Below are 16,957 nucleotides of genomic sequence, written 5' to 3'. Positions count from 1 at the left end.
TTTAATGACTACATAAAATCTCACCATGTTCATGTACCATAATTAACTTATCCTTCATTTCTTTGTAGAAATTTAGTAATTTACTGATTATAAACAATACTGTGATGAGTTTGCATTCTTGTGCTCTTGTCTGGTCAGTTTCTTAGAATAAATTCTTAAAAATGGGATTTTGGGGGCCAGGCATGGTGGCTTACGCCTGTAATCCAGCACTTTGGGAGGCGGAGGTGGGTGGATCACGAGGTCAGGAAATTGAGAACATCCTGGCGAACACGGTGAAACCCTGTCTCTACTAAAAATAAAAAAAATTAGCCGGGCGTGGTGGCCGGCACCTGTAGTCCCAGCTACTTGGGAGGCTGAGGCGGGAGAATGGCGTGAACCCGGGAGGCGGAGCTTGCAGTGAGCCAAGATTGCACCATTGCACTCCAGCCTGGGCAACAGAGTGAGACTCCGTCTCAAAAAGAAAAAAAAAAAAGGGATTTGGGGTCAAAAGATGTTCAAAATTTATAATTACATTTTGCAAGTTTGACTTCCAACTGACATTAGTAATGAAATTTACTAATTCTTGCCAATACAATTAATCAAATTTGATCTCTTTAATTTGCATTTATTTGATTACAAATGAGGCTTACCACACTTCTACATTTATCTGCTAATTGACTCACTTCCTCTTCCTCAGCAGGGCTCCTTCTTCATCCCTTAGCAGTCTGCTCGTCTTCTGCTTAAACCCCAAAGGCTGGAATCCCCAAACATGTCATTTCAAATCCTCTTTTTCTCCTATTGCCCCCCTCCCTAATTATCTCATCTGGTCCCACATTTTAAATATTGACATGCTAGTAACTCCCAGATTTATAACTCCAGCTTTGACTTCTCTCCGAATTTCAGTGCCTACCTGAAACTTCAACACTTGAACTAACGTCCTATGGAACACAGGTTTAGCAATTAATTATTTTTCATCAATTTTGTTTGGTATAAATTGAACCTAAGGTCTCCTCTCAGTTCAACGTTTTGGTCTATCATGTTTTTGAGCATTCTTTCCCATAGATTCGGTTCTCTTCTTCAAGGATTCTAATTATTCCTACAAAGGGTCTCCATTATTTTTCTTCCGTATCTATGAGCTCTCTGATTTTTATATCTGTGTTCTTTTCCTTTGAATTTCAGCCTGTACTCCACATTGCTGATGTACTTCACTTCTCTGCAATGGCAATTCTATTCTTTACAATTTCCTACAATTTAAGTTCATAAGGGTTCTGTTTCTTTTACATTATTCTTCTCTCTGTGAACTCTCTTTTTATTTTAGTCTGCTTTCTTAGCTCCATTGTCTTTTCACCTCCATTGTGCAGAGCCTACAGTAGGTGCTTATGGAAGATAAAAAGATAAATGACTACAGACAGTGACTTCCTGGAGCCAGTTGTCTTGTTGACAGGCCAGATCCAGGGCCTCCCCTTCCTGCTCCAGGGTGACTCAGGTGCCCTTCTCTGTCATTCCAGGTGAATCACGATCAATGTGCTCATCATACTCTGACTTACCTGTTTTTCTCTCTTTCAACTTGGAATTTTGAGAGGACAAAAACTTTCTCTTACTCGACATATATTCTCAGGAGCTAGTACAGGAGACTGGCACAAAGTGGGCCTTTTAGAAATATTTATTGATTTAATGAATCAGTGCATGAGTAAATATCAAGAAGATTTTAATTTAGATGTGGTTCTTATGATGCAATTTATTTATTGACCTTTGCTACACAAAAGGTCAAGGACATCTGAATGAATAAAGAAAATATTATATATATATATTTGTATGTGCGTGTGTGCATGTATATATATGTATGCACGCGCACACACACACGTGGACTATTATTCAGCCTTAAAAGAAAAGGAAATCCTACCATTTGTGACAACATAAACTGACCTGAAAGATATTATGTTAAGTGAAATAAGCCAGTCACAGAAGGACAAACACTGCATGATTCCATTCATATGAAGAATCTAAAATAGTCAAATTCACAGAAGCAGAGAATAGAATGGTGGTTGCCAGGGGTTGTGGGGAGGAGGAAATGGGGATTTGTTGCTCAGTAGGTATGACATTTCAATTATTCAAGACAAATAAGTTCTAGAGATGTGTTTTGCAGAACAGTATCTGCGGTTAACAAAACAGAATTGTATACTTTAAAATGTTTTAAGATGATAGATCTCATGTTAAGTGCTCTTACCACAAACAAAACCAAACCAAACCAAACAAAAATGAAACCACACAAAAATACAAGAAAATTTGTGGAGGTGATGAGTATGTTTAGTACTACTTGGCTGTGGTATCATGAGTATAGGCATATGTCCAAACTCATCAAAATATATACATTAAGTGCATTTTAAATATGCAAATATCAACTATGTCTCAATAGAGCTTAAAAATTCCCCTGAAAGATTTAAAAAGGGACTCTATATTTGAAAGCATGCTTGTCTAAATGTGAATTTCCTCACATGATGAACTGCTTGTCATGTGTCTGCCTCTGTTTTTATTAAAGGATTATTTATTCCACTGGACAGAGAGAGAGCGAGCAAAACAAACCACTGAAAATATCAGAGATGCTCAGTTCTACTAGAAGTGAGCATGATCCAAAACAAATTATTAAAATAGCTTATTTCATAAATTTGTTTATGAGAACTGGGTTTAAATTTCAGGCTATCATAAGTAGTAAAACCGTCTATGTAGATTCAGTAATGGTGCAATTCTCTTTTGAATGCTACAGAGAGCAGAACTCATTGGAATCCAAGCATTTTTTTTCTGCTGAAAACCCAGAGACCCCTTCAGTGGGCAGTTATGTGGAGACCCTCCATACCTGAGAATTGAAGCTTCAAAGGTTGACGTCTGTTTGATAGGCTTTTTAAGAAATTCACTGAGTTGGGAAAATTACACTCTTAGCAAAGAGGAGCGTAAGAAACCTCATATTGAAGTTTGATTTGCCAATGGCATTTATTTCAAATGTTTGACAAATCTAAGCTTTTCTGAGGGAATCTTTGAAACTCAAATAGGTAAGATGTTAAAAATTAGTCTCTTTTATTTGTTTTTCTGGCGCTCAGCTTGTAAACTCAACTTTACTATTTCAATCCTGTTACTCCTTCATTTGCATAAGAAAATGATTACCATAAAAATAATTCAAATTATTATGGTAGTTAATGAAAATAAATATAACTATGTTAAAATAAGTAGTTGTTCTCTTCATGCTTTAGCTCTCACAAAATCTACTGTGGAAGCCTTTTCTGATGGCTCCAATTTGCATTGGGTGTTCCTCCTGTGTGAATTCCCTACTTCCTCCCTTGACACCAGTATTTTAACTATGCATTTACTCATTGATCTAAATAGACTGTGAAGTATTGGAGGTAAAGAGTCTTACCAATTTTTTTTTTTTGAGACGGAGTTTCGCTCTCATTATCACCCAGCCTGGAGTGCAGTGGCACGATCTCAGCTCACTGCAACCTCCACCTCTTCTACCTCCCAGGTTCAAGTAATTTTCATGCCTCAGTCTCCCGAGTAACTGGGATTACAGACACCCTCCACCAAGCCCACCTAATATTTGTATTTTTAGTAGAGAAGGGGTTTCACCATGTTGGTCAGGCTGGTCACGAACTCCTGACCTCAGGTGATCTGCCCATCTTGGCCTCCCAAAGTGCTGGGATTATAGGCATGAGCCACTGCACCCCGCCAAGTCTTAGCTATTTTCATCTTCGTGCCTTCTGTCAGTTTTGGAAAATTCTCAGCCATTATCTTTTAAATACTGCTTCTAACTTATTCTTTCCACTTTGTCTGGAAATGCAATTTAAATAAATGTAAATTATGAATATCTTTGTGCATGTAAGAATCTGCACACATGTGCATGCACGCGCGCGCGCGCGCGCGCGCACACACACACACACACACACACACAGTGTTTTCACCAGGAGGGTTTGTCTGAACTATTTGGTCTGTCTTTGCCAGAAGCTGAATGCTGTAGCTGACATTAAAGAAGGAAATCAATTGACTGAGAGAATAAACACGCTCACTCCTTTATTTTAAATGTACTACAAATCTAAGTAAAACAAGGAATTCCTAATCCAGAAAATATTATTTCTTACACACATTATCTCACCGCATTAATTTATCTTGTTTAAGTAATATGCGCTTTCTGATAGAGAAATTATCACCTTCTCTTTCTCCTACTCTTTCTCCTTCTTCTCCCTCAGAGTTAGCCAGTACAAGTACTGTTTAGATGACCATGAGCTTCCCATGAAGCTTATTGTCACTATGAACCATGTTATTGTCCCTGTAGCATTAGTCCTTAATTTAATTTCTTGGATGTTTTATTAGCAATATGCCAGACCAAGTAACCTAAGGAGCTCTTCCAGTACAAGACGTGTAGCAAGAGCTTTCCTTTAATTTTACAGTAGACATGAGAAAAAATGAGGGCTATTCTCAAATGTTAAGGTGAAGAGAGAGCCCGGACATAGAGAAGTGACTGAGTCCTGGGGCAGAGGTCTCCTAGAGGGTGGGTCACTTCCCTGGTGGCCCAGGGCCCCCTTCAGTTATGTGGAGACCCCCCATGCCTGAGAATCAAAGCTTCAGTCAAAGGATGATCCAGCGGGCAGTACAAATTCTTTCTGGTCTCAGTCTTATCACCAAGTGAAAAAACGGAAACCATTTATTTATTTTTTTTCTGAGAAATCCTAACCATAAGCCAGCCCACAGTGTTGGGGCATGAATTCACATTACTTGAATGGCTCCAGTATCCCTGAGAAGAGAATTTAGTATAAAGTGTTTATGTGTAGGTGCTGTTTACTAAGGTCCAATAAAGAAAATGTATATATATTACATACATCAGACTAATGATTAAGATCTAGAATATACACAGTCCTAGAAATCAATAAGAATGAAAAAAGAGTAGAAGGGAAACTACAATACAAAAGGCATTTTATGTAAGTGATCACATTCATGTCCAATAAACCACCAAAAAATGCTTAACCTCATTAGAAATCAGAGGTTGCAAGTTGGTTGCAACAGCAATAAGGTATATTTCACATCCTCCACATTGGCTAAAATTAAAGTTTGAGTACCCCAAGTGTGGTCATCCATGTGGAGCAATGAGAAGTGTTATACACTGCTGATGGGAGTCTGAACTGATACAAACACTCAGGGAAACAATTTGTTCTTAACTAGTAAAGTGGAATATATGCATAACTTAGGGCAGGTAATTTAATTTCCAGGTACATAACTTAGATACATTCTTGCACACAGACACTAGGAAATATGAACAAGACTACTAATGACATCTTTGTAACAGCAAGTAACTCTTAGCAACCCAAATATCTTCGAATAGTTGAATGCACAGACTATGGTATACTCACAAAATGAAATACTATACAGCAGTAAAAAATAAATGAACTGCTACTACACACATCCACATAAATGACTCCTGAAAACATCAGTTAAAAAAGCAATTTGCAAAATATATGCATATGATCCCACATTATATAGTGCTTAAAACATATAAAACTTAAATATATATTGTCTGTGGGTACACATTTATATGGTAAATTGAAAGAAAATCCAGGAAGGGACAAAGAGAAAAGTGTAGGTTAGTGATTGCATCTCTATGGGAGCATGAGACCAGAAAGGGGCACATACATGGGACTTCAATGTTCTTGGTAGTTCTCTATTTTATAGGCAATGCCATGAGTACATGCATATTTGTAGTACGTTGGTTTTGGGATTTGCCAAGTCGGAAAGACTTGTGATAATAGTTTTTTTCCCAACTAAAACACAGATAAAATAAAAATACTAACATAATTTTATACTGCTTTGCTCTGGAAAACATTAGAAGAAATAAAGGCAAACATTCTAAATTAATTGTCCAAGAAAAGATTTTGGCGTGAAAAACTATGCAACTCAAATTTACAAAAGGATTTTTAATCATGCTGCATTTAAATTGCTTATTCTTTAAAATGTATGAACACATTAAATTAAATAGAAAATCCTACAGGGATTGATTATGAGTGGACACAAGAAGTTACTCGCAGGACTAGGCAGTACTTGCTGGCCACAGTTTCTGATAGGGTGGCTCAGCGAGGCTGGGTCTGGATTCTAGTGTTTTTATCAAGCATACCAGATGCAGGTATTCTAGTGACCACATTTTGAGAAGCTTTGGGTTAAAGTTGACATTAATAGTTTGCAAGATGGCAAATAAAAGGTAGAGAAACAAAAACAAAAACAAATCAAATCCTGAGATTGTTGGCAAAGATACGATTGTACTGGTTTATATGAAAAATGCAATAAAATTAACAGACAAATTAATGATCAATTCCCCATAAATAACATGTAATTGTTGGGGAAATATTTTGAAATGTTTTCTTTGGCTGCATTCTGTGCACAGATGTTAATAAGAAATGCCACTATCTTTTTTTTTTTTGGTATGAAAAGAGCCTCAAATTGAAGAATCTGTGCTCTACTGTTAAATTACTCCTGTGTAGAATGAAAAATTTGATTAATGTATTCAATTTAAATTACTTAGATAGCACAGAAAATTAAAAGAAGTTCCCTGAAAACTAAAAGATTAATGGCAAAATGTCATGGGTTCAGCAGCTTTGCACACAGTATACCTGGTACTGTATGCACATTCAACATTAGCTGATTAATAAAGAGTTCAGATAGCATTAGTGAATGTAAAGTGTAGAAAAAGATTGTCACTGAAAAAGATTATTCTGAATATAGAGGAAACGTGATGATAAAAATGAGATAATGAAAAATGTGGAATCTACCCAAGTTTTCAGATTCCAGAATCCCTCTTTGTGGCCAAATAGATTATGTTGAAATAGAAAACAGACCCCGGAAGTTTTCTTTTGTTTCTGCGTTTCAATATATTTCTGGATTGATTGGATACATTTGACAACAACTGATCAAGTGGGGGCCATTGATGTACTTAGACCAAATTCTGATGCTCTAAGTACAGTTCTGGGAACATGATAACAATTCACATTGATTCTTGAAGTCGGTGATGTTATTTAATCTTCCTATCAGTGGAATGCCATAGGTACTGTTATTACATCCATGTGATAGATGGGGAGATTGAGGCACCCCGCTTAAGTACCTTGTCAATGTCCCACAGTTAATAAAAAGCAGGATCGAAATTCACACCCTAATAACTATGCTAGAATCTTTCGAACAGGATTGTTGGAAAAAGGGAGCGTGTTAGTTGATTCTGACCTGCAAGTTCTAGTGAAAACTGCAAGGTTTGTTCGCATGGCTATGTACTTGGATTTAAAATAAGTTTTTCCCTCTACCATATTGCCAGAGTTTATTACTGAAACCTTTACCTCTATTCTCATTCAATTCTTACCCTAAATTTCCCAGGGCTCTGATGTGGAAGAGTCACGTTTCCACTTCAGCTCTCAGTTCCAGCATTCCATCACTTACGGAAGTAGCAGAGTCGATGCCAACTAGCAAACAAGTCATTCTGAAGTCAGTCTAAAAGTCAGTCTTTCTTCATCCAGCTTACTATAGAAGACAAATGGATAAAATAACAGGGTGTGCCTCTGCAATATTTATCAGATACATTATGCAAATTGACCATTCTGTATTTGAAAAATTGGGAAAAAATAAAAACCAGAATAAGTTGTTTCAAAAGTGAGCCTGGATGGAAAACATTTATTTTTCTAGTATTGTAAACATATTTAAATAAGTAATTTTTAATTAATACAGTGTTTTCACTTTCAGTGTTGTAACAAAAAATAAGTTGATTAATGGCTGGGATGGGGCTCAGGCTTCAGGAGTTTAAAAATTCACTTGGGTGAATTTCATGGGCAGTCTGAGCTGAGAACCACTGGCTTCAAGATTTCCCATCCAAGAACCACTGGACTTGGTTCTAAACAAAGAGACTGCATTTCGAAAATGTCTGAAAAATCTTGTCCTTGCTTTTAAATCAAGATATAGTTGAGTATCTCAACTTCCCTTTATTGAAAAGCAATCAGACTGTCAGAGATAAAATTTGTTTTGCAAGAATTAGAAAAATTTATAATGGAAAAGAGAATTCTCACTAATGTAAATCAATTGTTTTGGTAATCGATTTAATTACAGCAATGTGGAATGCAGTGTGAAATATATGACTGCAGAGATGATGCTAATTGCTTTAATTAGCTACCAAGGCTCAAAACCAAGAGGATCACTTAGTATAGGCAAAGTAGAATGGAAGAACAGTTCTGTAATTTTTTGGCCTGAAAGCTAAGCCCTGGAATTTCTAACTCACCCTCCTCTATGGCAAGGAGAAAATGATTATAATTGAATAATGCATTAAATCTGTATTGAAGTGATAGTCACTGCAAATTATTCAAAACAATATCTGAAGACCTATTGAATTGAAAGAGAAGTATATAATGCAGGTTGGGTGAAGGAGGCCAGTGACTCACTGTTTGAAATTCGCCTGCATCCATCAGTTTTTATTTTCACCTGTAATATACATATAATATTATTGAAAAAATATGAAGGCAAAAATGGTAAATGCTAGCAACTGAATTGCTAATAATAATTCATACAATTTATCATCTAATGTAGAAACTGGTATCCTGAATGTACTTGTAATCATACAATTTTGAGAAAAAAAAGACAATGTTCAATGTTAGGAAGCTTTCTATAAGAAACCTGGATAGTATTGTATTAGAATTTCTCTCTGTGTGTATATGTGTGTGTATCTGTGTGTGCATCTCTGTGTCTGTATGTATATGTGTGTATATGAATTTGTGTATGTGTGTATGTGTCTGTATATGTGTGTATATTGTGTATGTATATGAGTATATTGTGTATGTATAGGAGTATATTGTGTATGTATATGAGTGTGTGTATATGTGTATATATTTGTGAGTGTATGTGTATATGTGTGTATGTGTGCATATGTGTGTATATGCATTTGTGTGTATGTGTTTATATGTGTGTATGTGTGTATATGTGTGTGCGTATGAGTATGTATAAGTGTATGTGTATTTATGTGTATATATGTCTATGTGTGTCTGTGTGTATGTGTATGCATGTGTGTGTTTATGTATGTTTATATGTGTGTATACATGTGCATATACTTGTGTGTGTATGTGTGTGCACATGTATTTGTGTCTGTATGTGTGTATATGTGTGTATATGGGTATATATGTAAATGTGTATGTATGTATGTTTGTGTATTTGTGTGTGTCTGTGTATATATGTTATGTTTATATGTGTGTATATATGTATATGTGTGTATGCATGTGTGTGTAGATATATGTGTGTATATATGTATGTGTGTGCATATGGGTGTGCATATGTTTGTGTGTGTGTATTTATATCTCTGTGTGTATGTGTCTATACATGTGCATATACTTGTGGGTGTATGTATGTGTGTGTATATGTGTGTATTTATTTTTGTATGTGTGTATACATGTGTACATGTGTATGTATGTATATATGTGTGTGTGTGTGTGTTTGAGTGTATATGTGTGGGTATGTATATGTGTCTGTATGCATCTGTGTATATGTGTGTGATGGTGTGTGTGTGTGTGTGTGTGTGTGTGTATGCAGGCATACCTTGTTTTATTGCACTTCACTTTATTGCATTTCACAGACGATTGCATTTTTTACAAGTTGAAGGTTTGTCACTACCCTGCCTCCAGCAAGTCTGTTGGCTCTGTTTTCTTAACAGCATGTGCTCACTTCCTGTCTCAGTCTCACAATTTGGTAATTCTCACAATATTTCAAACCTTTTCATTATTATCATATTTGTCATGGTGGTCTGTGGTCAGTGGTCTTTGATGCGGCTATTGTAGTTGTTTTAGGGTGCTACGAACCATGTCCATATAGGATGGTGAACTTAACTGACAAATGTCCTGTGTGTTCTTACTACTTGACCAGCTATTTGTTACCTAATTTGTTTCCCTCTTCTCAGGCCTTCCTATTCCTTAAGACATGATATTGAAATTAGGCCAATTAATAACCCTACAATGGCCCATAAGTGCTCAAGTGAAAGGAAGAGTTGCATGTCTCTCACCTTAAATTAAAAGCTAGAAATGATTATGCTTAGTGAGGAAGGCATGTGGAAAGCTGAGATAGGCTGAAAGCTAGGCCTCTTGTGCCGAACAGCCAAGTTGTGAATGCAAAGGAAAAGTTCTTGAAGGAAACTAAAAGTGCTACTCCAGTGAACACATGAATAAGCGAAACAGCCTTATTGCTAATATGAAGAAAGTTGCAGAAATCTGCATAGAAGAGCAAATCAGCCACAACATTCCCTTAAGCCAAAGCCTAACACAGAGTAAGGCCCACACCCTCTCTCTTCAATTCTATGAAGGCTGGGAGATTTGAGAAAGCTAGAGAAGAAAATTTGAAGCTAGTAGAGATTGGTTCATGAGGTTGAAGAGAAAAAGCCATCTCTATAACATAAAAGTGCAAGTGCTTAGCATCGAGTTATCCAGAAGATCCAGCTAAGATAATTGATGAAGGTGGTTCCAGATTTCTACTGGAAGAAAATACCATCTAGGACTTTCATAGATAGAGAGGAGAAGTCAATGCCTGCCTTCAAATCTTCGAAGGACAGATTGACTCTCTTGTTAGGGGCTAATGCAGTGGTGACTTTAAGTTGAAGCCACATCTCTTTTACCATTCTGAAGATCCTAGAGTCCTCAAGAATTATGTTAAATGTACTCTGCCTGTGCTCTAGAAGTGGAACAACAAAGCCTGGATGACAGCACATTTCTTTACCGCAAGGTTTAGTGAGTATTTAAAGCCCACTGCTGAGACCTACTGCCCAGAAAAAAAGATTCCTTTCAAAATATTACCACTCATTGATAAGCACCTGGTCACCCAAGAGCTCTGATGGAGATGTACAAGGAGATTAATGGTTTCATGCTTGCTAATACAATATTTGCTTTGCAGCATATGGATCAAGGAGTAATTTTGACTTTCAAGTCTTATAATTTCAGAAATACATTTCTTAAGTGTATAGCTGCCATAGACAATGATTCCTCTGAGGGACCTGGGAAAAGTAAATTGAAAGGTTTCTGGAAAGGATTTACCATTTTAGATAATGTTAAGAACAGGCGTGATCCATGAGAGAAGGTATAATAAAAATATCAACATTAACAGGAGTTTGGAAGAAGTCGATTCCAACTTTCATGGATGACTTTGAGGGCTTCAAGACTTCAGTGGAAGAAATAACTGCAGATGTGGTAAAAATAGCAAGAGAACTAAAATTAGAAGTGGAGCCTGAGGATGTGACTAAATTGCTGCAATCTCATGATCAAACATGAATGGATGAGGACTTGCTTCTTATGGATGAGCAAAAAAAGTGGCTTCTTTGAGATGGAATCTGCTGTCAGTGAAGATGCTGTGAACATTGTTGAAATGAAAACAAAGCAATTTAGAATATTACGTCAACTTAGTTGATAAGGCAGTAGCAAAGATTGAGAGAATTTACTCCAATTCTGAAGGAAGTTCTACTGTAGGTAAAATACTATCTGACAGCATTGCATGATACAGAGAAATTCTTCATGAAAGAGTCAATCAATGCACCAAACTTCATTATTGAATTATTTTGAGGAATCGTTACAGCTACCTAAGCTTTCAGCAACTACCACCCTGATCAGTCAGCAGCCATCAACACTGAGGCAAAACTCTCCACCAGCAAAATTTATTGTGAACTTGCTGAGGGCTCAGATGGTCATTAGCACGTTTTAGCAGTAAAGTATGTTTTACTTAAGTACTTTTTAAAGTCACAGTGCTATTGCACACTTAAAAGACCATAGTATAGTCTAAACGTAACATGTTTGTACAGGAAAACCAAAAAATTCATTTAACTCATTTTATTGTGATACTTGCTTTATTGAGTTGGCCTGGAATGGAACCCACAATATCTCCAAACTATGCTGTTATGAGAAAAACTTGGGACTGTAATGTCTCCCTTGAAACTAGGAAGGAGCCAAGAGACCAAAGAATGACTCAGACAAGTTCAGCTTGATGAATAGATGAGTTTATTAAGACTTACAGACAGGGCACTCCTGGATGGTGCAGGGATGCTCTAGGGACCTGCATCACCCCTGTCTCTAAGCTACTTTTAATCTAATTTTCTGGCTCTTTGCTTAATATGTGTGTGTGAAGACACTGTTTTCCTTGGTAGGTTCTCAGATACTCTCCAAGATGTTTGAGCTCTCAGGGACATCTACTCCTTGACTGGGAACTGTGGCCTTGGCTCACTGCCTGGCCTGCAGGGTTCAGGCATTGGACATACATCCTTAAGTAACCCTGTGGGGACCTGTCACACTATATATGCTTGTATTAAATATATGTAAGCCAATAAACCCAGTGAATCTTTTGAAAATAAAAATAATTACCTTTGCTATTTCCTTATTTAGTATATTTCTTCCCCTCACAACCCACCCCCACCCCGCAAAAACAGAGTCTTGCTCTGTCGCCCAGGCTGGAATGCAGTGGCACGATCTTGGCTCACTGCAACCTCTGCCTCCCAGGTTCAAGTGATTCTCCTACCTCAGCCTCCTAAGTAGCTGGAATTACAGGCGCCCGCCACCACGCTCGGCTAAGTTTTGTATTTTTAGTAGACATGGGGTTTCAACATGTTGGCCAGGCTGGTCTCGAACTCCTGACCTCAAGTGATCCTGCCACCTCGGCCTCCCAAAGTGTTGGGATTACAGGTGTGAGCCACTGTGCCTGGCCTATTTCTCCATGTTTAAGTGAAAATCTAAAAAGCTTTCTTCACCTATAACTTTCCTGAGAGATGCATCTATTAGTGTTTATTGGTTTCTGCTTTGAAACAGCAACAATATAATCAGCAAAGGCTGTTGCAGAGTAGAATGTGTGTGTGCACATGTGTGTGGACCTGTGTGTGTGTCAGGACCTGTGTGTGTGTGTGTGTGTGTGTGTGTGTGTGTGAAGACCTATGTGTGGGTGGGTATGTGTGTGGACCTGTGAAGACCTATGTGTGGGTGGGTATGTGTGTGGACCTGTGTGTGGATGTGTGTGAACCTGTGTGTGGATGTGTGTGGACCTGTGTGTGTGGATGTGTGTGGACCTGTGTGTGGATGTGTGTGGATGTGCGTATGCCTGTGAATGGATCTGTGTGTTTCCTGTCGGCACAGAGAAAGTCATGGGCCTTGAGTTGTGTCTAGCGGGGAGCAGGTTCCTACATCCTGCTCTGCCCAGAAGATCCTCCCAGTTGAATCAGTGTTTTAGTCAGCGAGGGCTGCCATAACAAAGACCACAGACTTGGTGGATTAAATGACCAAAATTTATTTCTCACCGTTCTGGAGGCTGGGAGTTTGAGATTAGGGTGCCAGCATAGTGAGAATCTTCTTGGCTTGCAGACGGCCGCCTTCTCTTTGTGTCCTCACATGGCAGAGCAAGAGATCTGGGCCTCTTCCTCTTCTTATAACGGCAATAGTTCCTTGGATCAGGGCTCCACCATTATGACTTCGATTAACCTTAATTACCTCCCTGAAGGCCCTGTCTCTAATGCAGTCAGATGGGGGTTTAGGGCTTCAACATAAGAATTTTAGGGGGACACAATTAAGTCCACAGCAGCCAGGGTCTCTTTGTTGCCTAAGATGAAACCAGTGCTATTTTCATTGCTGTATCAAGTGTACAAGGCCAAGAACTAAAGTAGATCAGGGTGAAATGAAATGCATGACATTTGTTTCAGACAATGTCAGGCCTGAATTTGTACCTTTGTGCAGTATTTTAGGAAATTGGGAGCTGAAATTTTATTCACCTCTAAATGTACTTCTTTGTGTCAGCCCTGTTCTGTTCCCCGAGGAAACTGCAAAAGCTGGTTGTCCAAACCACTAGCCTGTGAAGGATACTCAGTAATAGTCGAGGGAGCATGGAGTTAGAGATCAAATAACCTTCCAATTATCAGAGTCCCCAGGCACTCAGTTCTTGAAGCTTCTCAGCTCTCACATTCACTTGCTTTCAGAGTCATCTTAGCTTTTCTAGCAGAAGAAAGCTCATGTTTTCTTAAAATAACGAACAAGTTGAATCATTTAATGTGCAAGTGAGGGGAACCATACTGCCTCATACAAATGGCTGCCATTTTCACTTGGGGAGGGAACAGTTAATGAGCATGCTGGGGTGCCCTGTGCTATGGATTGTTGTCTCTGAGGTCTCACTCACCCAACGAATTTGTTAAATAATCATTATGACACCAAGACCAAAACATAATGACACCAAACACAAGAAGTATGCGTGCGTGCGTGTGTGCGTGTGTGTGTTGTAGCACTGGAATTTACTGCTCTGATCTGTCTCCCTGATATAATTGGTAATAATAATGATAAGATGGGAACCTAATATGTGCCAATTCTGTGCTAAGTGCTTTAATAGGTGATAACAGTTCATTCTTGCAAAAATCCTCTGCTGAAGGTAAACGTAACCCCTATTAAATGAGAAACTAAGCATGACTACTGATAGGAAATGATAATTCATTTATTTTCACCTTTTCTTTCATTCTTAAGCAAAAAACTATATTGATTAAGTGGGGTAGTGGGAAGTAAAGGGAACTATGATTAAATAAAAGTGCTGTTACAGTCAGAACAAACCACAGAAACACAGCAGGTACAGACAGCAGCACAGGTTCTGCTGACACAGCCTCTGAAGGTATCCAGCCCTTAGCATCCATCCTTTCATTTCTAATAAACATAGTTATGCACATGGCCTCACCTATTGGCCCAGCCTTCAGAGAGGCTCTGAACCCACTCAGATAGAATCACGATGTATGGTTTATTGGTTTCAACTTCTCTGTAGCCAGAAAAAGACAATAGAAGTCTCAGAGCTTAAACATTAACAATATACTTTAAATGCAATGTACCATAAAACATCATAAGATTTGGATGTATGTAGATTTCATAAAATTTTATTCTAGAAAGTACACTCAGATGGTCCTAATGTCTACCTTACAGCTCATTGTCTGTTTGTTTAACTTTAAATAAAGTTAAGTCTAATCTTGCCTTGTTATGTTACAAATGGAAAAGCTGGAGAATAGAGAGGTTAATGCTTTGTTTGAGATCACACAGCTTGCTAATAGAAAAGCCAGGGAAAAACCCCAGATGACTTTGCTTAGAATTCATTGCTCTTGCATGATTGACAATGCCTAGATACTAGAGATTAGTTTGGGAGTCACGTGGTTCTTTTAGTGTCAGACAATATACGAATCAAGATTTAAGGCATCAGCAGCTCTCTTTGATGAAGGGTTACTGTAAATGTGAGAACGTGGGCACCTAAGTTCCTGTTGGTCTATTTAACATATCTGCGAGGCTTGAATGTGAGTGATCCCTCAGTTGTGTCACAGAGTTATTAGTGAAACCCTTTTTTTTTTTGTTTGTTTGAGACGGAGTCTCGCTCTATTGCTCAGGCCGGAGGGCAGTAGCACCATCTTGGCTCAGTGCAACCTCCGCCTCCTGGATTCAAGTGATTCCCCAGCCTCAGCCTTCCAAGTGGCTGGGATTACAAGCACACACACCACCACCCCCAGCTAATTTTTGTATTTTGTTTAGCAGAAACAGGGTTTCACCATTTTGGCAAAGTTGGTCTCCAACTCCTGACCTCAAGTGATCCGCCCACCTCGGCCTCCCATGGTGAAGCATTTTTCCGCAGGATACTAGGCTAACACATGTTGCCTCCCATTGGTGGGTGGAAGGTGATAAGAAGAAAGTGGCTGTTTCCCCAAAAAGAGTGATGCTTTGGAATATTACTTGAAAAACAGAAGTGTGATTTGGTGACTTTGAATATATTATCATCTTCATTAAGATAAAATTGTGGTTTCTAGAGATTTCCTCAAAACAACATATGCTTTGATCACATACCTATCAACAATGAAAGATGTTTTGTGTCATTTATAGTCTATGTATTAAAAGCCTGAATCAAAGAGATAGTAGAGCTGGTTTCAAATTCCTTTTTGTTACTATTATTGTTGTTTTTGAGACAGGGTCTTGCTCTGTCACCCAGGGCGGAGTGCAGTGGCGTGAGCTTGGCTCACTGCAACTTCTGCCTCCCTTGCTCAATTGATCCTTTCACCTCAGCCTCCCAAGTAGCTGGGACCACAGGCGCACACCACCATGCCTGGCTAATTGTATTTTTAGAAGGGAGGGGGTTTTGCCATGTTGCCCAGGCTGGTCTCAAACTCCTGGGCTCAGTGATCTGCTCACTTCCGCCTCCCAGAGTGTTGGGATTACAGGTGTGAGCCATCGTGCCTGGCCATGTTTCAAATTTGAAAGATTGAACAGTTTATGTTGTGCAAGAAACTTAAACTCAGTCTGTGCTCATGTGTAAAATGAGGATAAATAATGTAGAGCATAAACCTAGTGTTTCTCATGAAATAAATACCTTGTATTGCTACTGATCCTAATGTAATGACAGCATACACTGGTAGCAGTGATTTAGAGCTTAGATACAAATCTTCAGTACATTCTTTACCACACTAAGCTTGCTTTGTGTTTTGAACAAATTGGACTGTTTACTCTTTTGTGCTGCCCTCCTGTACTAAAGGGAAAAGATTTTCTTATTGTCTGCAACTTTCATGGTATTTCTTTTTATGTTAGAATTGACTAAACAATTTCAGTTATTTTGAGTGTATTAGGATCACTGAGTAATATTCTTTGGACAGATAGAGGCTCTGATCTCTTTGAAGACATAGATTATGTTTAAGTCTGGAGGATCTGCCTGAAAATAAATTTCAAATTTTCCAGCAAGAATAATGATTGAAGCTATAAAATTGTGACTTCTGATGTGAGCCTAAATATAGATATAATCTGTAAAATGTATTTAACTATTGTATTTTGTGTAATTTTTGTGTTTCAATTTGGAACAGTTGAGACAGGAACTTACGTAACTCTGCTAGGGCATGTTTTCCATGGGGAAGATGAGAACTTTTACTTGTTTGTTAAAGCAAAGAGTATTTTCAGTGGGAGAAGTCACATTT

The 16,957-nt window shown here is 38.2% G+C and overlaps 1 protein-coding gene across 7 annotated transcripts in view; it reads left to right on the top strand.

Annotated features, from left to right (window-relative positions):
* PXDNL (peroxidasin like) overlaps positions 1–16,957 on the top strand; it is a 489,869-nt gene that overhangs the window by 99,719 nt on the left and 373,193 nt on the right. The gene's annotated exons all lie outside the window — the stretch shown is intronic.

Source organism: Homo sapiens, chromosome 8 (genome assembly GCF_000001405.40).
Source record: "Homo sapiens chromosome 8, GRCh38.p14 Primary Assembly".
NCBI classification, from domain to species: domain Eukaryota; kingdom Metazoa; phylum Chordata; class Mammalia; order Primates; family Hominidae; genus Homo; species Homo sapiens.
The sequence above is the reverse complement of the archived record's forward strand: the minus strand, read 5'-3'. Positions and strand labels throughout refer to the sequence as shown.